The sequence below is a fragment of the Homo sapiens genome, chromosome X (genome assembly GCF_000001405.40).
Source record: "Homo sapiens chromosome X, GRCh38.p14 Primary Assembly".
In the NCBI taxonomy this organism is placed as follows: Eukaryota; Metazoa; Chordata; class Mammalia; order Primates; family Hominidae; genus Homo; species Homo sapiens.
The window spans coordinates 41432535-41454479 of NC_000023.11; the positions used below are offsets into that span (position 1 = coordinate 41432535).

The window sequence follows — 21945 nt, forward strand, 5'->3', positions numbered from 1 at the left end:
CAAAAAATATATATATACACATTATATATATATATTTATATAAGTATATATGTATATACATATATACATACAAACATATATACGTATATACATACACATATATGTGTGTGTGTGTGTGTGTGTGTGTGTATATATATATATATAAAATCATGAAAATGTTTTGTCCTTGTGGGATCCCTTAAAGGGTTTTAGGGATCCCCAGAGATCTCCAGAATACCCTTTGAGAACTACTATGATAAAACATAAAGACATTTATTGTGTATTGTTAAGAGGTCTGAGGTAGGTGGCTCCGGGTTGGTTTGGGTAACAATCTCCCCAGGTGCTTTCCTACTTTCCATTCGCCCACCACTGCATGTTGGTATTTCAGCTTCATGCTTGTTGCAAGATGGCAGCCACAGCTCCAGACATTCTGTCTTTGAAGCATATATTCAAAGGAAGGAGGAAGAAGCTGTATCCAGGGAGGCTGTAACTTTCTCTTCATCGCTCTGTTTCTTACCAGGAAGAGAAATTTTTTCCCAGAAGTAATCCAGCGGACTTCTCCTTGAACATTTTTGGCCCTGATGGGTCCATATGGCTACTCTCAACTGCAAAGGAAGATAGGGAGGCAAATCTCTGGCAAAAGAAAGCAAGATGCCTATGATAGGCTGAAGCCCAGCCTCCTTCATCCACTGGAGCTGGGCACAAGTTTGCCCAAACAAAGTCAGGATTCTGTTAGCCATGTAGATGGGAGATTGGCTCTATGGTAAGCAACAAACAATGCCACCTCCAGCTCTTAAACTAATAAAGATTTCTCCTCCTATACCTTTATCCACAATAAGGAAGCAGAATGCACAATTGACCATTGGCAGAACCTCAGACATGAGGCTTGGGATTTCTAGTAAAAATGTTCTCGTAGAAATCCCTGGTCAACTTGAACTACCAAGTGGGGTGAAAGTGTAGAAAAGCATTGCCATTTTTTTTTTTTTTTGGAGATGGAGTTTCACTCTTATTGCCCAGACTGGAGTGCAATGGCACGATCTCAGCTCACTGCAACCTCTGCCTCCTGGGTTCAAGCGATTCTCCTGCCTCAGCCTCTCGAGTAGTTGGGATTACAGGCATGTGCCACCACGCCGGCTAATTTTATATTTTTAGTAGAGACAGAGTTTCTTCATGTTGGTCAGGCTGGCCTTGAACTCCCGACCTCAGGTGATCCACCCGGCTCAGCCTCCCAAAGTGCTGGGATTACAGGCGTGAGCCACTGTGCCCAGCCACCTTTTTTCAAACATTAAAATGAACATTAAATCAAATGTGAAAATCCTTCATCATATAGATTCTCAAGGCCATCTCTAAGGTCATTTTATGAATATCTTATCAGAAAAGAGTTTTCTGTGGTTTCCTTGGATGTAAGATTTTTGTGGAGACAACAGAACTCCATGCTAAAGATTATCATAAAGATTAAAGAATATCATTCACTTAAGTGGATTATCAAGCAAAGCTATGACTCCACATAATTGCAGTGCAATGAGTGTCCAAAGATGATGAGCCACAAATTTGAAAACGCTTACTCAATCTTTCAGGAAACATTCATTGAGCAGTCTTGGCACATATAAATAAGAGTATTATTATAATTATTTTGAGACAATTTCGCTCTTTCACAGGCTAGAGTGAAGTGGTGCGATCTCGGCTCACTGCAACCTCCACCCGCCCGGGTTCAAGTGATTTTCCTGCCTCAACCTCCTAAGTAGCTGGGATTATAGGCGCCCACCACCATGTTCCACTTACTTTTGTATATTTAGTAGAGACGGGGTTTCGCCTTGTCGGCCAGGCTGGTCTCAAACTCCTGACCTCAGGTGATCCACTCGCTTTGGCCTCCCAAAGTGCTAGGATTACAGGTGTGAGCCACCGTGGCCGGCCAAGTGTTATTATTTGAAACTTATACCAAAAGGAAGTCTAGTGGCATACAACACAAAAGTAAAATAAAATAAATTGGGCTTCTACAGTAAGACTTTTTAAAATCAACTTTTTTCTAACCAAAGTGAAGAAATTGGACAGGAAGGAAAACAGGACAGGAAAAACAGAATGAAGCCTAGGTTAGTGTATAAAATTCATGATGTAACATATACTGGGTTTTTTGGGTTTTTGTTGTTGTTGTTTGTTTGTTTGTTTGTTTGAGACAGGGTCTCATTCTGTCACCCAGGCTGGAGTGCAGTGGCGCAATCCCAGCTCACTGCAACCTCTGCCTCCTGAACTCAAGCAATCCTCCCACCTCAGCCTCCCGAGTAGCTGGGACTCTAGGTGCAGGCCATCATGCCCGGCTAATTTTTGTATTTTTTGTAGAGACAGAGTTTTGCCATGTTGCCCAGGCTGGTCTCAAAAGCCTTGCCTCAGGTGATCCACCCACCTCAGCCTCCCAAAGTGCTGGGATTACAGGCATGAGCCACAGCGCCTGGCTAACATGTATTGTTTGTGGTTGTTTTTTTATTTTTCATTGCTATGAAGTATATTTCATTTGAGTTTGATTGTCATAAATATCTTGCTGGTTAAATCCTGAGTCAAAACTACAACTTTGGCTGGGTGCAGTAGCTCACGCCTGTAACCCCAGCACTTTGGGAGGCCGAGGCCGGCAGATCACCTGAGGTCAGGAGTTCGAGACCAGTCTGACCAATATGAAGAAACACCGCCTCTACTAAAAAAATACAAAATTAGCCAGGCATGGTGGCAGGCACCTGTAATCCCAGCTACTCGGGAGGCTGAGGCAGGAGAATCACTTGAACCCAGGAGGCGGAGGTTGCGGTGAGCCGAGATCGCACCATTGCACTCCAGTCTGGGCAACAAGAGTGAAACTCCATCTCAAACAAAACAAAACAAAACAAAACAAAACAAAAAACTACAACCTTGGGATTTGACATTTTAAGAGAAAATTTTTGTTTGTGTTTTTTTTTGGGGAGGGATGAGCTTTTTTTAATTTCTTCTAAAGAAAACGGGAAAATGTGCAGAATGTGCAGGTTTGTTACATAGGTATACGTGTGCTATGGTGGTTTTCTGCACCTAATGACCCATCCTCTAAGTTCCCTCCCCTCACCGCCTACCCCTCAGCAGGCCCTGGTGTGTGTTGTTCCCCTCTCTGTGTCCGTGTGTTTTCAATGTTCAGCTCCCACTGATGAGTGAGAACATGCGGTGTTTGGTTTTCTGTTTCTGTGTTTGCGGAGGATGGTGGACATGTACTGTTTTTAGAGGTGTCAAAGAACAAAGTTTCAAGAAACGGAGTTTTAAAGATCTAATTGGTTTTTATTCGCGATTCATGAATTGGGTAATATCCTGTGTACAAAATAGAAGGAGCTTTGCTGGTCTTGGCAGACTGATCAGCTTTTGTAAGGCGGACCCAGCAGGAAAAAGGAAACAACGTAATACAAAATCGTATTGGTTAACATCGGGTTACTTCAGGTTACTTTACTTGTGCGGGTTAAAGCAGAAGGGATGCCTTCGTCCATTTTGTGCTGTTACAACAGAATACTTGTGCTATGGTTTGAATACTTGTCCTCTCTGAAACTCATATTGAATCTTAATTTCAAATGCAACAGTATTAAGAAGTGGGGCCTTAGCCGGGCGCAGTGGCTCATGCCTGTAATCCCAGCACTTTGGGAGGCTGAGGCAGGTGAATCACTTGAGGCCAGGAGTTCGAAACAAGCCTGGCCAACATGGTGAAACCCCATCTCTACCAAAAAATACAAAAATTAGCCAGGTGTGGTGGCGTGCACCTATAGTCCCAGCTACTAGGGAGGCTGAGGCACAAAAATTGCCTGAATCCAGGAAGCAGAGGTTGCAGTGAACTGAGATTGCACCACTACACTCCAGCCTGGGTGGCAGACTGAGACCATGGCTCAAAAAAAAAAAAAGAGGTGGGGCCTTTAAGAGGTGGTTGGATTAATGGATTGATAGGTTATCGCAAGAGTGGATCTATTATAAAAGCCAGTTTGGCTCTCAGAGCCCCTCTTGCCCTATGATGCCTTCTGCCATGTTATGAACACAGCACAAGGCCCTCACCAGAAGCCGACCAGATGGACTTTTCAGCCTTCAGAACTGTAAGAAATTAATTTGTGTTCTTTATAAATAATCTAGTCTCGGCCGGACGCAGTGGCTCACATCTGTAATCCCAGCACTTTGGGAGGCCAAGGCGGGTGGGTCACCTGAGCCTAGGAGCTGAGGCAGGAGAATCACTTGAACTCGGGAGGCAGAGGCTGAAGTGAGCTGAGATCATGCCATTGCACTCCAGCCTGGGCCACAACAGCGAAACTCCATCTCAAATAATAATAATAATAATAATAATAATAATAATAATAATAATAATCATCATCATCATCATCATCATCATCCAGTCTCAGATATTCTGTTATAGCAACAGAAAACAGACTAAGGCAGTTTCAGACTGGGTAATTCATAAAAAACAGAAATTTATTTCTCACTGTTCTAGAGGCTGGCAAGTCCAAAATCAAAGCACCTTAACAAGGACTTTCCTTCTGCATCCTTGCATGGCAGAAGGCAGAAGGGCAAGAGAGGGATAACCTCTGTCTTCACATGGCAGAAGAGCAGGAGAGAGCGAACCTACAGCCACAAGCCCTTTTTATAATGACATTATTCTATTCATGAGGGTGGTGCCCTCTCTGATTTCTTGAAAGACCCTATCTGACAAGTGAACAGCTTAGGTTTTGGTTTGGTGATATGGAAACAGCATGAGTGACTGCATTTTGGGTTGGTCTGTTGGGGTTTTGTGCAGGAGCTCAGTCTAATCAATGGCCTCCATAAATTGTATTTAACAGAGATGACTTTCAAATTTGATGCTTAACAGCCAGCAGCCAATTAAAAGATGGAAATGCAATTAATACACAATTCCACTGTTTCTAACGAAAACTTTGTCTCCCAGGCCCACACACATACATACATAGAGGCATTGTGATATTTAAAAAACCAAAAATGAACTTTGAAACCCATCTCTATAATAAATAAGCAGCTAAATCGGACTACTTATTAACATCTTCAACATAGGTGGGGGGCATAATGCCAAGGCAAGTTTCCATAAATGTTATACCACAAATGCTCACCCTGATCAGGCACAGGTACACAGCTCTTTGATGGTCCAGCTTAAGCCAAAAGTAAAATTTCAAGACAATAGAGGTTTGCAAACAGCAAGATGCAAATGAGAGATCAGGACATTCTAACATTAATAAAGGACAAGCTTGACAAGAAAAAGTAAAATAAATCAGTAACAATTTTTTAGAAATAATTGGTACAGGTTGAATTTCAATGAGACTATCTAGTAATCATAGATGATGGGGGTGGGCAGAGAACAAAGAAACAGAGGATAAAGTTTTGAAACTATATGTTTAACATCCCCACATGAGAATTCAAAGTATGCTAAGAACAGAAGTAAATACTGGAACAAAACAGTTGTGTAAAAACCTAATAAATAGAAATGTTAGAAAAACAAAAATTAGGCTGGGTGAGGTGGCTCATGCCTGTAATCCCAGCACTTTGGGAAGGTGAGGCGGGAGGATCACCTGAGGTCAGGAGTTCGAGACCAGCCTGGCCAACATGATGAAACCCTGTCTCTACTAAAATTACAAAAATTAGCCAGGTGTGGTGGCTCATGCCTGTAATCCCAGCTACTTAAAAGGCTGAGGCATGAGAATTGCTTGAACTCAGGAGGCGGAAGTTGTAGTGAACTGAGATAGTGCCACTGTACTCCAGCCTGGGGGACAGAGTGAGGCTATCTCAAAAAAAAGAAAAAAAGAAAGAAAAACAAAATCTTCTGATGTCATTTAAAAGGAAACAAAGGCCCGGCGCAGTGACTCATGCCTGTAATCCCAGCACTTTGGGAGGCCGAGGTGGGTGGATCACTTGAGGTCAGGAGTTTGAGACCAGCCTGGCTGACATGGCAAAATCTCATCTTTACTAAAAATACAAAAATTAGCCAGGTGTAGTGGCACACATCTGTAGCCCAAGCTACTCGGGAGGCTGAGGCAGGAGAATTGCTTGAACCTGGGAGGTGGAGTTTGCAGTGAGCCGAGATCATGCCACTGCACTCCAGCCTGAGAGATAGAGTGAGACTCTGTCTCAAAAAAGAAAAGAAAAGGAAACAAAAAGTTTTTTTTTTTTTTTTTTGAGACGGAGTCTCACTCTGTTGTCCATGCTGGAGTGCAGTGGCCCAGTCTTGGCTGACTGAAACTTCCACCTCCCGAGTTCAAGGGATTCTCCTGTTTCAGCCTCCCAAGTAGCTGGGATTACAGGCGTGTGCTACCATGCCCGGCTAATTTTTTTTTTTTTTTTTTTTTTTTTTTTGTCTTTTTAGTAGAGACAGGGTTTTACCACGTTGGTCAGGCTGGTCTCGAACTCCTGAACTCAGGTGATCCGCCTGCCTCGGCCTCCCAAAGTGCTCGGATTATAGGCCTGAGCCACCATGCCCAGCCAGAAACAAAAAGTTAAGTAATCTACATAAACTCCATAAATTGAAAGGGAAGTAACAAATAAAAATTAAACCTAAAAGGAAACAGGGTATGGTAAAATTTTACCAATTAAAGAATTAAATGTAAACAGACCGAACTCTCCTATTAAAAAATGGCAGCCTACCAACTGCCTACAACAAAATCTAACAACTTTTTGCAAACAAGAGACGCACAAACCAAAATCATCATCAAGAGAGTAGCAATGTTTGAGGATATTCCCATGTGAACAGAAGAAAAGCTCGGATTACTATTTTAGTAGCAGATAAAGCAGATGTCATGTCATAGCAAAAGGCAGTACAATAAATAAATAAGGTCATTACATAATGCTCAAATGTATATTACATTATGAAAATTGAAAATACTGAATGTATGTGTTACAAAAACCATTGTAACAAACCCATAAAAGAAAATAGACAAAAAGGCAAGAAGAAGTAAATATGATTTTAATTGGAACCCTCAATATTCCATTTCTGGAAAAAATAGACACAAACTAAATTGAAAAATACTGTATAATTGAATAATTCTTTCAAAAAACTGTTTTCAGGGCTTACTAGATTTTAAGTCTGTGCTACATGCTAGAAGACAAGTCCATGAACAATATGAATTTAACAGACTTATGGAGAGATTAGAGATGGGACAAGTTAATATTGTCTCTTTTCAAGTGTACATAGATCATACCATCTGCAAACAAACGAACATATAAAAAAACTAAGATCCTATATTGGACAATAAAGACTCATTCTTTCATTAGTTTAGCACACATTAACCAGTTTATTCAATGTATTAGGTTGTTTTGGTATTCACAGAAAGGCAGAAACACCATCCACCAAATGGTCAAACCACAGGTCAATAAAATTAAAAAAAAAATAAAAGCAAGTAGGGCTCGGTGGCTCACGCCTGTAATCCCAACACTTTGGGAGGCCGAGGTAGGCAGATCACCTGAGGTCAGCAGTTTGAGACCAGCCTGGCCAATATGGTGAAACCCTGTCTCTACTAAAAATACAAAAATTAGCCAGACATGGTGATGCACGCCTGTAATCCCAGCCTCTGAGTGGGAGGCTGTGGCAAAAGAATTGCTTGAACCTGGGAGGCGGAGGTTGCAGTGAGCCGAGATCGTGCCACTGCACTCCAGCCTGGGTGATAGAGTGAGGCTCAAAAAAAAAAAAAAAAAAGTACAATTCAATAGCAGTAGGTACACTTACATTGTTGTGCAACCATCACCACTATCCTTCTCTAGAATGCTTCCCTCATCTCACACTGAAGCTCTATACCCTTTAAACTATAACTCCTGATTCTCTCCTCTCTCCAGGAAATTCACTTTTGAGCTTAAACTGTTTTGAGTTAGATACTTGTACCTTGCAATCAAGAGTCAACTAACATAACTTTGTAAGAGAATATATATAATATATAGAATATATATATATATTCTATATATAATATATAGAATATATATATATTCTATATATAATATATAGAATATATATATTCTGTCTCTATATATTCTCTATATATATATTCTCTATATTCTCTATATATTCTATATCTATATATTCTATATCTATATTCTATATCTATATATTCTTTATATTCTATATATATTCTTATCTATATTCTATATATATTCTTATCTATATTCTATATATATTCTTATCTATATTCTATATATATTCTTATATATATTCTATATATTCTTATATATTTTCTATATATATTCTTATATATTTTCTATATATATTCTATGTATATTCTATATATATTCTATATATGGATTACATATAATCTCTATATATTCTATATATATGGATTATATATAATCTCTATATATTCTATATATATGGATTATATATAATCTCTATATATTCTATATATATTCTATATATATATTCTATATATATATTCTATATATATTCTATATATATATTCTATATATATTCTATATATATTCTATGTATAATCTATATGGATTATATATATTCTATGTATATTCTATATATATTCTATATATACAGGTGAGGTGGCTCACACCTGTAATCCCAGCACTTTGAGAGGCCAAGGTGGATGGATCATCTGAGGTCAGGAGTTCGAGACCAGCCTGACCAATATGGTGAAACCCCATTTCTACTAAAAGTACAAAATTAGCCAGGCATGGTGGTGCATGCCTTTAATCCCAGCTACTTGGGAGGCTGAGGCAGGAGAATCACTTGAACCCAGGAGATGGAAGTTGCAGTGAGCCAAGATCATGCCATGGCACTCTAGCTTGGGCAACAAAAGTGAAACTCCATCTCAAAACAAACAAGCAAACAAATATTCTCTGCTGGGTACAGTGGCTCACGCCTATAATCCCAACACTTTGGGAGGCCAAGGGAGAAGGATAGTTTGAGTTCAGGAGTTCAAGACCAGCCTGAGCAGCATAGTGAGACACTGTCTCAACAAAAAAAAATTTTTAAATTTAGGCAGACATGGTGGTGCATGCCTGTAGTCCCAGCTACTCAGGAGGTTGAGGCAGGAGAATCTCTTGAACCTGGGAGGTGGAGGCTGCAGTGAGCTGAGATTGCAACACTGCACTCCAGCCGGGGCGACAGAGTGAGACTCTGTCTCAAAAAAACAAAAAACAAAAAAACAAAAAACCACAAAACACACACACATACACAAACAATAACTGGCCAGGCACGGTGACTCACGCCCTTAATCCCAGCACTTTGGGAGGCCGAGGCAGGTGGATCACCAGGTCAGGAGTTCAAAAGCAGCCTGGCCAAGATGGTGAAACCCCATCTCTACCAAAAATACCACGCCCGGCCCTTGGTGTAACTTTTATTGAAAAAAAAATCCAAGTGTAAGTGGTTACGCGAAGTGTAAACCCATATTGTTCAAGGGTCAACTGTATCGGGAAATGGAGAGACCTACTTTGTTTTTTGTTTGACATCTGCTGCAATGGGAGAGAAACCTACTTTGGATGCAATGTAAAGAACGATGATTTCAGAAGAGGCCCCAGGAAGGTGTATTTGTGGGCAGTGGGCAGAGCCTGTTGGTGAGCTAACCCTTCATTTACAGGTGACAAACAGGCCATGCGCACTACGCGGCCTGGTCAGGAGGACACGGCACTGGGAGATCTTCCCCAGGGTGTGACCTTTGGCAGGTTAGGTCCCCACCCTGGCATCCCTTCCAGCCCGGGCATTCTGCGACTCCAGGTGCGTGAGGAACGTTTCTGGCACCAGGCACGCCCTGGGACTTTCCCCAGCCCTGGCCCCCGCCCCCACCGAGTAGGTGCGGGTGCCGCGGCGGGGAGCAGACAGAGGTCCCGGGGCCGCCCCACCCCGACTCCCGAACCTCGGTGCCCTCTGGCGGCCACGCTGGGCAGGACCGGGCTCATCGGGGGCGTGGCTCGCCCCGGAGGCTCCGCCCCTTCTCCCCAGGGTGGGGCCGGGGTGGTGGTTACCGGCAGAGGCTGCAGAGGTTTCGCAAGGACGTGACCTTTATGGGAAAAAAAAACCACTGTGTCACGCACGGTTGCCAGCCGGGGCCAGCGAGCTGAACTAGTTTTCTGAAGCCCGCGGAGGGAGGAGCCAGAGCGGAAACGTCCAGCCCAGTGACTCGCTGCCTACTGCCCCTCCAGGACCGCGGCGGCGCGCCCTGAGCCCCGGGGCACCAGATGGGGCGCGAGCCCGCACCTAACTGTGTCCGGGCCTGCCGTTGGGGCGACGTCACTGTCACTACACTGGGAGTCAGCGGAATGAGGGCACTCTCGCCTCTCTTCCTCCTTCCTCCAATTCCAGAAATGAGGCCCGGGAGCCCAGGCTGATCCAATCCAACCCCACTGAGCTGGGGTTTGGATTGGAAGGGCGGATGTGAAACGACAGAAGTAGGATAGTTTGCGAATAAAGAACAAGGGAGTTGGGTGCTTTAGCCACAGAATAGGTTCAGCCAAGGTCATTTAGAGGTGCCCAGCAAGAGGGGAGTGGCTACCCCTCCCCCATCCTGATCTGAGGCATGCAGTGGGGACGTCGGGGGTGGCCACAGGGGCTGTGTGTGTCCTTATTAGGACCCGAGAAAAACCCAGGGACTGGGAGGCAGGAGGACAGGGTACCCACTGGGTCCCAGCTCCACCTTCATATGTCACTCTGGGGAGCAGGTCACTTAATCTCTCTGGGCCTCAGTTTCCTCACTTGAAGAATGAGGGGTCTGGACAAGATTATGGAATATGTTTCGAGTACAATCAGGCCTAGGAACTGAAAGTCCCTGTCCTGACACCATCCAGTAAGTCAGAGAAAAAGGAAGGGTAAGAGGCCAAGGCTGTCACTCACCCGGTTCTCTTTCTATAGCTCCCTTACAAATTCTCACATGGGCTTCAATTCCCTTCAGCAAACAATTGTGCACTTCCGCCTGTGTGCCAAACCCAGGCTTGGGCCCAGCTTTGTGGGGCCTGGGGCAAGAGTACGCACGGAGGACCACACACTGTATGTCTGAATATTTAAAAGCTACACATCAAGCTAAAAAACTGTTAAATAAAACATGTTCTATCCTCCTATCTGAGCAGATATACCTTCATAACAATCTGGAAGGTTAAATTCAAGTTTGCAATTCTTGCATTCCTCAGCATTCTGGGCTAGGGTGTGATGGCACAGAGAGTGGCCCCAGCTCAAGGCCATGGCGTAGCTTCCCTCTATTCCCAGGCCGGATCCATCCCATGCTATAGCGGATCTTTCCCACGCACGTCCTCATATCCAAGCTCTGTCCCCTTCTCTGCAACTGTCTACCCCCTAAAGGATCACCTCTCGAGTATGCACATTGGTGAGACCATCCACCTTCAGGAGACTGGACCTAGAGGAGTGGGTTCAGAACCTGTTGGGCAGTGAATTCCCAGGTCGCAGGTATCCAGAACGTGGTTCTGGGTGGGTAAGTGTCTTGGCCTCAATGACTCCTTGCCCTGTGTCTCCCTGCCTCTTGCCCTGTCTGAAGGCGACACCAGCCAGACATTGTGGGAGTGCAGACTTGGATCAAGCACAGCCCCTCCAAGGAGGCCAGCCATCCAAACACTATGAACTTTGGGCGCAGTGGCTCAGGCCTGGCGTGGTGGCTCACGCCTGTAATCCCAGCACTTTGGGAGGCCGAGGTGGGCGGATCACTTGAGGTCAGGAGTTTGAGGCCAGCCTGGACAATATGGTGAAACCCCATCTCTACTAAAAATACAAAAATTAACCGGACATGGTGGCGCGTGCCTGTAATCCCAGCTACTCCGGAGGCTGAGGCAGGAGAATTGTTTGAACCCGGGAGGCGGAGGTTGCTGTGAGCCGATAGCGCACCACTGCACTCCAGCCTGGGCAGCAGAGCGAGACTCAGTTTCAAAACAAACAAACAAACAAACAAACAAACAAACAAACAAACACTGTGAACTTCGAGGCAGATGCCTGCAAGTGAGAAAGGAGGGCACTGGAAGGGGATTCATTTCTTAGAGGTGGTAGCGCTTATGCTAAGCATAGCAGGCAGATTGAGATTTCAGCAGGTGGAGAAGTGGGGAAAGAAAGGAGCAAAGCAAAGGCCCAGGAAGGGCTACCCAGGGTTGGGGTGTCTGTGAATTGTCACTACAGGGCAGAAAGGCTGGAGGGCAAATCTGTGTCCTCCAGATAGCAGGCAAAGCCTCCAGTAGTCGCCGGCTGTCTTAATTAATCGGTAATTCTTACCAATTCCAAGGTGGGGAAGCCTGGCCAAAACGGCGAAACCCCATCTCTGCTAAAAACACAAAAATTAGCCAGGCATGGTGGCCGGCGCCTGTAGTTCCAGCTACTTGGGAGGCTGAGGCAGGAGAATGGCTTGAATCCAGGAGGTGGAGGCTGGCAAAATCATGCATCTTGGGCCATCACTATTTCTCAAGGTCACTTACACACCCCTTCTCCCTCCTTCAGCTCCTTTTATGGGCTACCAACTGCATGATGAGTGAGAACTAGCATGGGTACAAAACCACCCCAGGAGGGCCAGGTACAGTGGCTCACGCCTGTAATACCAACATTTTGGGAGGCTGAGGCCAGTGGATCATTTGATGTCGGGAGTTCGAGACCAAACTGGCTAGCATGGTGAAACCTCATCTTTACTAAAAATACAAAAAAAATTAGCCGGGTGTGGTGGTACTCACCTGTAGTCCCAGCTACTCAGGAGGCTGAGGCAGGAGAATTGCTTGAACCCGGGAGGCAGAGGTTGCAGTGGGCTGAGATCACGCCACTGCACTCCAGCCTGAGGGACAGAGTAAGGCTCCATCTCAAAAACAAAAACGAAAAAATCCCTCCCCCAGCAGCCCACGAGTGGCTGGAGTAGGCTCTGAAAGGGCCGGCCTTTCTCCTGTCTTGAGCTTTAAGTTTCTCCCAGGGGAAGTCAGTCAATCGCATTTCCTGTAACAACCCTGGGCCACCTGCTTTTCTCCCTGCAGCAAGGTTTTGATTAAGGGCTGCTCATCCTCCCAAGTCGGTGGTACCAGCTCACCTGGTGGATGGGCTCCTTCCTTTTTATGCCAAGAGTCTCTGATGCCTCCTTATTTTCCACTTGGGAGAAATGTTTCAGTTCACAGGTGGAGAAGAAGGTCTTCCTTAGTGGGATCCCAGTGCCAGAGCACCAGGCCCACTGGCCTGGAGAAGATTGAAGGGAAGGTTGGACCAATAAGCTGCGAACAAAGGTTGTGGGTGCAGACAGGTTGGCTCTTACAGTCGAGATTCAGCCTCTGGACTGCTGCTGGGGGAGTGGGGGCTTCGTTGGGCTAAGGCTTGGGGTGATGGCTACAGGGACACCTCCGACACTGGTGGTCACAATGAGAGGGCTGCCCACTGCTCTCATCTAATAAGCCAGGCGAGTCCAACACTGGGGATAGAGATGTCATTTGAGAGGCCTCCCCCACCCACATCCCTACCCCATCCCTAGTATTCTCTTCTTTCCAGCAGGTTAGACAAGTTCAGCCACATTTTGGCTTTCAAGGCTCAAATGGAAGAAAACAAAAATTCCCCAGGGCACGGTGGCCTGAGATGTCTAGATTCACATCCAGAACCCTTTCTGTGGGAAGGGAACTCCTGGCTTCCTTTCATCAGCACTGGCTCACCAAGTCCTGCGTGGCCAGAACTTGGCAGGTTGCCATGGATACCTGGAAGTGCTGTCCCAGCAGACAGCAGAGGCTTGCTGGGGCCAGGAGAATGTGGGGGCACCTGAACTGCTGGCCAGAAAGGCTAGATAAACAGGCCCCCCTGCCACCCTCATTTTGATCAGACCCCCTCCACCAGTCTCCTAAAACAGGGCTTTCCAAACTTTACCGGGCACAGGAATCCCCCTCTCCGCCGACCTAGTTAAAATGCAGATGCTGGCCGGGCGCGGTGGTTCACGCCTGTAATCCCAGCACTCTGGGAGGCCGAGGCGGGTGGATCACAAGGTCAAGAGATCAAGACCATCCTGGTCAACATGGTGAAACCCCGTCTCTACTAAAAATACAAAAAATTAGCTGGGCATGGTGTAGTCCCAGCTACTCAGGAAGCTGAGGCAGGGGAATCGCTTGAACCCAGAAGGTGGAGGTTGCAGTGAGCCAAGATTGTGCCACTGCACTCCAGCCTGGGCGACAGAGTGAGACTCCATCTCAAAAAAAAAAAAAAAAAAAAAAAAGCAGATGCTGATTCAACAGGTCTGGGGCGGGGGGTAGAAGGCGCTGAGATTCTGTTTTCCTAACGAGCTCTCAGGTACTGCTGCTGGTCCACCGGCCACACTGAGTAGCCAGGGCCTAAACTGAGTCCTGGTGGGTTTCAGAAACCTCAGCCAGATTCTGAAGGTCCCATTCCTGGACCCACTGCCTTAGGCCACCACTACCAGCCCTAACCCCAGTGGGAACCTCTTGCCTTCTTGTAGTGGAAGGACTCTCTCCAGTCCGTTTTTGTATCATTCACCATCAACCACTTCAAAGAAAGGAAATCAGCAGCCGGCATTTTGGGGAAACATTTTAAGCTGTCCTGTCCCTTCTCCAGCTCTCCAAGTTATATAATGCGTCCTTGTTGAAAATGCTGATAATGCTGTTTGGGTGGCAGGAAGCCAATTTCAGGCTACATATTGCTTGGGGCTGGGGCTGGGGTCAGGGAACGGGGCAGGGTCTGGGGAAGGTTTAAGGAGAGAAAGGGGCCAGGCAGATGGAGAGAGGACAGGAGGGCCAGGGTGGTCAAGGCCCGGGGATAAAGCCGATTGGTATGTCAGCAAAATCTGTCACTGGCTTTAGTGATTCGAAAGGCAGACACATTCTTTCATCTCTGTTAATCCTCATGTGATACAGAGGATTTTCCTGCCATTAAATCTGGAGAAAGAAAAATAAGCACTCAAACCTGCACAAGTAACTATTCCTCTTCACCCCTTCCTCCCGTCCCCCCACCCCCACCTTTACTTCTCTCTCAAACCATTTTCAGCATCTGTGGCTGCCTGACTTGGGAGATGGATGGGCTGAGGGAGTGGAGGGGGACCTCAGAGGAGCAGGACCAGGGAGACTCCCAGGACGGTAAGCAACATTTGAGGACCATTCACTAACGCTTCTCTGCAGGGGTTTCCTCTCCATCCATTTCCTTGCTGGGTTGTCAGTGATGCCATCTGAGTTGCTGTCAGGGCTGTAGCCTGACAAAGGGTTTCCTAATAGATCCAAACTGTCCATTTGTGGGGAGCTTCTGATTTTCTGTTGTTACTGGTTTCCCTTAGCCCAACACCAGGGTCATTAAGAAGGAAGGAATGTGAGGAAGAAAGAAAGGCAGGGCATTCAGGAAGAAGTGTGGAGGCATGGGAGGGTTCTCATGGGGCCCTCCTGGGCACTGGGTGACCTGTCCTTTCTCCCCTCAGGTAGGGGTCCCACGGCTGGGTGGTCCTAAGCCACTGGGTGGATGAAAGGCCGAGGGATGTTGGTCCTGCTTCTGCATGGTGAGTTCTCCTGCCGGTGGGTGCAAGGGTTGGGAAGAGGGGTGGAAGCCACAGAGCTTCTGCCCAAAGAGTCTTTAAAGTGGCTTCTGGGACAGCGGTATCTGGACACTTCTGATCAGGTTTCACTGACCCTGTGATCGTGGGGGAGGGGATAGAGAAAGCAAGAAAACAGCAGGTGGTGGGGATTTTTGTTTCCTAAAAACAAAACTCCTGAGCCGAATATATGAAATAGTCCTCTTGGTGATTTTCTTATTCTAATTTCAGATATGAATTCATTGGTGTGATAACCAAAAGCTACAGTGCTACAGTGTTTTTTTGTTTTGTTTTGTTTTTGGAGATGGAGTCTCGCTCTGTCACCCAGGCTGGAGTACAGTGGTGCGACCTCGGCACACTGCAAGCTCCGCCTCCCGGGTTCACGCCATTCTCCTGCCTCAGCCTCCCGAGTAGCTGGGAGTACAGGTGCCCGCCACCACGCCTGGCTAATTTTTTGTATTTTTAGTAGAGACGGGGTTTCACCATGTTAGCCAGGATGGTCTCGATCTCCTGACCTCGTGATCTGCCCGCCTCGGCCTCCCAAAGTGCTGGGATTACAGGCGTGAGCCACCGTACGGTGGTTTTTTCTTTTCTTTTCTTTTCTTTTTTTTTTTTTTTGAGACAGAGTCTCACTCTCGCCCAAGCTGGGGAGCAGTGGCATGGATCTTGGCTCACTGCAACCTCCGCCTCCCGGGTTCAAGTGATTCTCGTGCCTCAGCCTCCTGAGTAGCTGGAACTATAGGCACCTGCCACCACGCCCAGCTAATTTTTTGTATTGTTAGTAAAGACGGGGTTTCGCCATATTGCCCAGGCTGGTCTTGAACTCCTGACCTCAGGTGATCTGCCTGTCTCGGCCTCCCAAAGTGCTGGGATTGCAGGCATGAACCACCGTGCCCAGCCTACAGTGGTTTCTAATCACATTATTTTAAGCTCATTTAGTTAAAAACAAAAGTCCCTTTAAAAAACCACCTTCCTAAAGGAAAAAGAAAAAATGAAAAATGCCTTGGAATTATAGGATTATGGATATTGAAGTTATTTTTCAAAGTTTCTCGCTCTGTTATGTGCACTTTAATATACCAAGAAGACTCGTTATGAAATATTTTCCCTGGCTCTAGCTGTTCCAATCTGACTGAGATAGCCCAAGGAAAAATCCTTTAAATTCTTCAGTAAATGATTCTACACAAAGAATCTGTTTTTTTCTGACCCTCAAGTGAATTTAATTATTTGAGATATGATGATCTATGTAATAGACCTCTGTATGCGATGCTGATAGAGAACATTTTACCAGATCATCTAAAACAGGAGTAATGGAGTTTTCTTCCTCTTTATTCCACCTTTTCAAAAACCGGAACTTGCTCTGTTCAGTCAACCAACAGGCATACACTGTGTGCCTTCAAAACGCTCGAGAGATATTTATGAGGGATATAATAGCATGCTCTTTGTCTTTGAGAAAATTCTTTTATAAGAGATTCAATAAATAAGCAATAAAAAAAATTGGAGCAAGGCACGTGGAACACTGTGATAAATAGGACATGACTTCCTACCTCGAAGAGGTTCTAAAGAACAGAGGTTGATATTTATATAATTACTAACAGTCAACTTCTTGCCATTCCTCCTACCTTGAAAAAAAAATGAAACTTGATTGACTCATTGGGGCACAATGTTTGCTTCCAACAGCCAGTATCATTTTAAACGTGCACCAAAAGCTCTACCGTTCCTCACAGAAAGCAGACCGTATTCATAGCCTGCACACTTCAAAACAGGAACTGTCCCTGCTACAGAAACCCGAAATATATCCAGACTTCTTGTGACAAGTTGGAGAGCTCAGCGGTGACATCATTTGCTAACAATAGATGCACTTAAAATTAATGACCATCTCCACATCCCCTGGCACTTTAATTTAAAACACACTCTAGCAAGCACAGAGAATATTTCTCTGACTGCGAGTCACAAGCAATACGGACAATATGTTCCCGAGAAGCAGGCAGGGATAGTGCTCTACCTCCTTGGCCAGAAAGAAAATGACTAAGTGAGCCTCACAAAACAACACCTTGGAGAAATCAGAAGTGGCTCGCAGCAGGGAAATTTGGGGCAAGAGAAATTCTCCTCTGGACACACAGGGCTCCTGGAAGTGCCCCACTTCTCAGATGCATAAGTGCAAATACCTCCACCTCCTCCCCCCATGTTAACCCCTGGGGTCTTCCCGCTGTTCACAGCATAATATCTGAAACCCTTAACTTCTTTTACAGGGTCTTTCACATGTGACTTCCTCTACACTGAGTCTTCAAAGAGAGTCAGGGGTTGTGTGTTTGTGTTTTTTGTGTGTGTTTCTTTTGAGACAGGGTCTCGCTCTGTTGCCCAGGCTGGAGTGCAGTGGCATGATCTCAGCTCACTGCAACCTCTGCCTCCCGGGTTCAAGTGATTCTCGTGCCTCAGTCTCCAGAGTAGCTGGGATGCGCCACCACCACACCTGGTTAATTTTTGTATGTTTAGTAGTGATGGGGTTTCACCATGTTGGCCAGGCTGGTCTTGAACTCATGGCCTCAAGTGATCTGCCTGCCTTGGCCTTCCAAAGTGCTGGGATTACAGGTGTGAGCCACCGTGCCCCACCAAGATTTGCATTTTAAAGGAAGTCTATAGGAAAATAAAATCACAATGAGGTGCCACTCACACAGCTAGAATGGCTACATTTTTTTTTTTTTTTGAGACAGGGTCTCACTCTGTCGACCAGGCTGAAGTGCAGTGGTACTATCTCGACTCACTGCAACCTCTGCCTCCTGGGTTCAAGTGATTCTCATGCCTCAGCCTCCTGAGTAGCTGGGATTGCTGGCGTGAGCCACCACACCTGGCTAATATATATATATATATATTTTTTTTTTTTTTTTTTTTTTTTTTTGGGTATTTTTAGTAGAGAGGGGGTTTCGCCATGTTGGCCAGGCTGGTCTTGAACTCCTGACCTCAAGTGATCTGCCCACCTCGGCCTCCCAAAGTGCTGGGATTACAGGTGTGAGCCACCACGCCCAGCCATAATTTTTGCATTTTTAGTAGAGATGGGGTTTTGCCATGTTGGCCAGGCTGGTCTCAAACTCCTGGCCTCAAGTGACAGGCTCAAGTGAGGCTGCCTCAGCCTCCCAAAGTGCTGGGATTAGAGGTGTGAGCCACAATGCCCAGCCAAGAATGGCTACAATTTAAAACACTGACAACACCAAATGTTGGTGAGAATGTGGAGTAACTGGAACTCCCATACATTGCTGCTGGGAATGTATAATGGTGCAACCATTTTGAAGAACTGTTTCTTAGAAAGTGAAATACATACTTATCATATAACTCAGCCATCCCACTCCTAGATAAATGAGAAACAAAAACACATGTCACAGCTTTAGTCACGATAGGCTGAAACTAGAAGCAATGCAAATGTCCATCAACAGGTGAGTGAATAAACAAATTGAGGCACCTCTATCCAGGGAAATACTGCTCAGCAATAGAAAGGAATGATCAACTGATATTCATGACCACATGGATGAACTTTACAGAAGGTTGTGCAAAATAAGCATTTGATTTCATTTCCTTTTGAGACAGAGTCTTGCTCTGTCGTCCAGGCTGGAGTGCAGTGGTGTGATCTTGGCTCACTGCAACCTCCGCCTCCCGGGTTCACGTGATTCTCGTGCCTCAGCCTCCTGAGTAGCTGGGATTACAGGTGCCCCCCACCATGCTCTGCTAATTTTTGTATTTTTAATAGGCATGGGGTTTTGTCATGTTGGCCAGGCTGTTTTCGAACTCCTGACCTCAGGTGATCCACCTGTCTCGGCCTCCCAAAGTGCTGGGATTGCATGCGTGAGCCACTGCACCCGACCTTGATTTCATTTCTGTAAAGTTCTAAAACAGGCAAAACTAATCTATAGTTCAGAAAGCAGGTCAGTGGTTGCCTGGAGCCAGGGGTGGGAAAAGGACTGAAGTCAAAGGAGCCTGAGGAAACTTTCTGGGTGGTAGAAATGTTTTAAGTCTTTTTGCTGTTGCTGTTGTTGTTGTTCTGAGACAGGGTCTTGCTCTGTTGCCCAGGCTGGAGTGTAGTGGTGCGATTATGGCTCACTGCAGCCTCAACCTCCTGGGCTCAAAGGATCCTCCCACCTCAGCTTCCCGAGTAGCTGGGACTAAATGTGCACCACCATGCCTGGCTAATTTTTGTTTTTTGTTGTAGAGATGGGGTTTCGCCATGTTGCCCTGGCTGGTCTTGAACTCGTGACCTCAAGCAATTCTCCTGCCTCGGCCTCCCAAAGTGCTGGGTGCCCAGCCAGAAATGTTCTAAGTCTTGATTGGGGTGGTGGTTACACAGGCATGTGTACATTTATTATACTTACTGAACTGCACGCTTAAAATGGGTACATTTTATTGTAAGTAAAGTATACCTTAATCAACTTGATTTAAAAGAAAAAATGAAGGCTGGAGGGAGAGAGTGGCTGTACCAGAAGCAGAAAAAATGCTTCACTGTCCACAGTCAGGCAGTGTGGTATATCAGGCAACATGTATGTGAGATTCATCAACGTTATTACGTGGATTAGAGTAGTTTTTCCTTTTGAATGCCTAGTAATATTCATTTGTACAGATTGACTGGTTAGTTTATCCATTCCCCTATTGTCGGGTGTTTGTTTCCAGTTTGAGGTGATTGTTTATATTTAGGCCCGGAGGCCTTTCTGGGGCCTTGCGTTCTTCTCCTTAGATGGGACAGATGTTCATCTTCAAGTTTCACCAGGCCTGCGAGGCTACCAGCACACCACCCCTCTGGAAACATTGACTTCTCCATCCCTTATGACTCACGTTAGCCAGCAAAACTGCAGCTCGAATCCTTTCTTTCCTGTCACAAAAGGTACCTGCATGGGGTGAAAACCAAGTTCTGGGGTCACAGGAGGCCAGAGGCCACAGCATGGTCTCCGCCTCCGCACTTCTGTTTCCTCCAGCCAGTCTTGTTTTGAAGATCCAGCATTGGGTTTTGGTCCGAGGAGCCACTTGGTAGCATTTGCCAAGAATGGAAGGAAAGTGATTTCTAGAGCCAAGGTAGCTAAATAGATTTTGCTGAAACCAGAAATTTGACCATGTTTTCCCTTGCTATTTTTGGTTTCATAAGGCTCAAGTTCTTTTAAAACAATGAGAATAAAGAAACATTCCAATCTCAGTCTGTGGTTGGAAACACCAAGTAGCTGTTCTCCTAGCAAACCTCAAGGTGGGAAAGCACATATTTGAAAAGCCGAGGGCTTAGGAAAGAGAAACTGCTCAGATGGTCTGCATTAGACCTCATTATGCGGGTGCCTGAGGCTGGCCATCCCTGCCTCCTTGCAGCTCGGGGGCTGGCCAGGACACCCGATAGGGACACACAAGCAGGGAGCCATTTCTGGTGTTTATTTTCCCAGATTCAGGGACGCCTTGTAAGATTTTTAAAAAACTGAAGGAAAATTCACACAAGATAAAATTAACCATTAACTATCTTATTTTCTTCTTCTTCTTCTTTTTTTTTTTTTTGAGATAGAGTCTTGCTCTGTCGCCCAGGCTGGAGTGCAGTGGTACGATCTCTGCTCACTGCAACCTCCGCCTCCCAGGTTCAAGCTATTCTCATGCCTCAGCCTCCCGAGTAGCTGGGACTACAGGCATGCACCACCATGCCCAGCTAATTTTTATATTTTTAGTAGAGATGGGGTTTCACCATGTTGCCAAGGCTGGTCTTGAACCCCTGGACTCAAGCAATCTGCCTGCCTTGGCCTCTCAAAGTGTTGGGATTATAGGCGTGAGCCACCGTGCCAGGCCTTCATTCCTTTTTAAGGCCAAATAATATTCCGTTGTATAGTTATGCCACATTTGCTTATCCATCCATTGGCTGATGGACATTTGTTGTTTCTACCTTGGGCTGTTGTGAATAATGCTGCTGTGAACGTGCATGTGCAACTGTCTCTTTGAGACCTTGCTGTCAATTCCTTTAGGCATATGCCTAGGCATGGAATTGCTAGGTCATATACTAACTCTACATTACACTTTGTAACTCTTTATATCACACAGATGAATCCCATTTTTATAAAATTGGTGCATCTAGACCTTTGATTTTTGACTTTGGCTGCATATGGTAATCACCTGTGGAGCTTCAAACATACCAATGCCTGATCCCACCCCTGAAGATTCTGATGTAATTGATCTGATGTATGGCCTGGGCACTGTGAGTTTTCAAAGCTCCACAAGGTGATTCTAATGTTCAGCCCTGGAAATGAACCATCCTAGACTCCAGACTCCTCTTTACAGCCTATCCCTAGTAATAGCTTCAGTATTCTGACAACTGGTGTCTTGCTTTCCATTCTAGGGCAGATTTCCACATGGTCCCTTTTTTTTTTGAGATGGAGTCTCACTCTGTCGCTCAGGCTGGAGTGCAGTGGCGTGATCTCAGCTCACTGCAACCTCCGCCTCCCGGGTTCAAGCAATTCCTCTGCCTCAGCCTCCGGAGTAGTTGGGACTATAGGTGCATGCCACCATGCCTGAATAA

At 45.7% G+C, this 21945-nt stretch overlaps 1 protein-coding gene across 2 annotated transcripts in view, besides 6 other annotated features; it reads left to right on the plus strand.

Moving 5' to 3' along the window:
- Positions 9496–9545: an enhancer, noted in NCBI's record as "active region_29555". NCBI's record gives its function as "activates an Ori minimal core promoter by ATAC-STARR-seq in GM12878 lymphoblastoid cells {active_cell/tissue: GM12878}" and the evidence as "EXISTENCE:reporter gene assay evidence [ECO:0000049][PMID:35858748]".
- Positions 9656–10165: a silencer, noted in NCBI's record as "silent region_20775". NCBI's record gives its function as "represses an Ori minimal core promoter by ATAC-STARR-seq in GM12878 lymphoblastoid cells {active_cell/tissue: GM12878}" and the evidence as "EXISTENCE:reporter gene assay evidence [ECO:0000049][PMID:35858748]".
- Positions 10486–10555: an enhancer, noted in NCBI's record as "active region_29556". NCBI's record gives its function as "activates an Ori minimal core promoter by ATAC-STARR-seq in GM12878 lymphoblastoid cells {active_cell/tissue: GM12878}" and the evidence as "EXISTENCE:reporter gene assay evidence [ECO:0000049][PMID:35858748]".
- Positions 12475–12544: an enhancer, noted in NCBI's record as "active region_29557". NCBI's record gives its function as "activates an Ori minimal core promoter by ATAC-STARR-seq in GM12878 lymphoblastoid cells {active_cell/tissue: GM12878}" and the evidence as "EXISTENCE:reporter gene assay evidence [ECO:0000049][PMID:35858748]".
- Positions 12695–12764: an enhancer, noted in NCBI's record as "active region_29558". NCBI's record gives its function as "activates an Ori minimal core promoter by ATAC-STARR-seq in GM12878 lymphoblastoid cells {active_cell/tissue: GM12878}" and the evidence as "EXISTENCE:reporter gene assay evidence [ECO:0000049][PMID:35858748]".
- Positions 12885–12934: an enhancer, noted in NCBI's record as "active region_29559". NCBI's record gives its function as "activates an Ori minimal core promoter by ATAC-STARR-seq in GM12878 lymphoblastoid cells {active_cell/tissue: GM12878}" and the evidence as "EXISTENCE:reporter gene assay evidence [ECO:0000049][PMID:35858748]".
- NYX (nyctalopin) overlaps positions 14809–21945 on the plus strand; it is a 28310-nt gene continuing 21173 nt past the window's right edge. The window contains exons 1-2 of one of the 2 annotated variants that reach the window (NM_001378477.3): positions 14809–14982; positions 15315–15392. In NM_001378477.3, the coding sequence (NP_001365406.2) occupies positions 15371–15392 (22 nt within the window). In that variant the 5' untranslated portion in view covers positions 14809–14982; positions 15315–15370. Of the gene's footprint in view, positions 15393–21945 lie in introns of both variants that reach the window. The other variant, NM_022567.3, reaches the window with a different exon arrangement.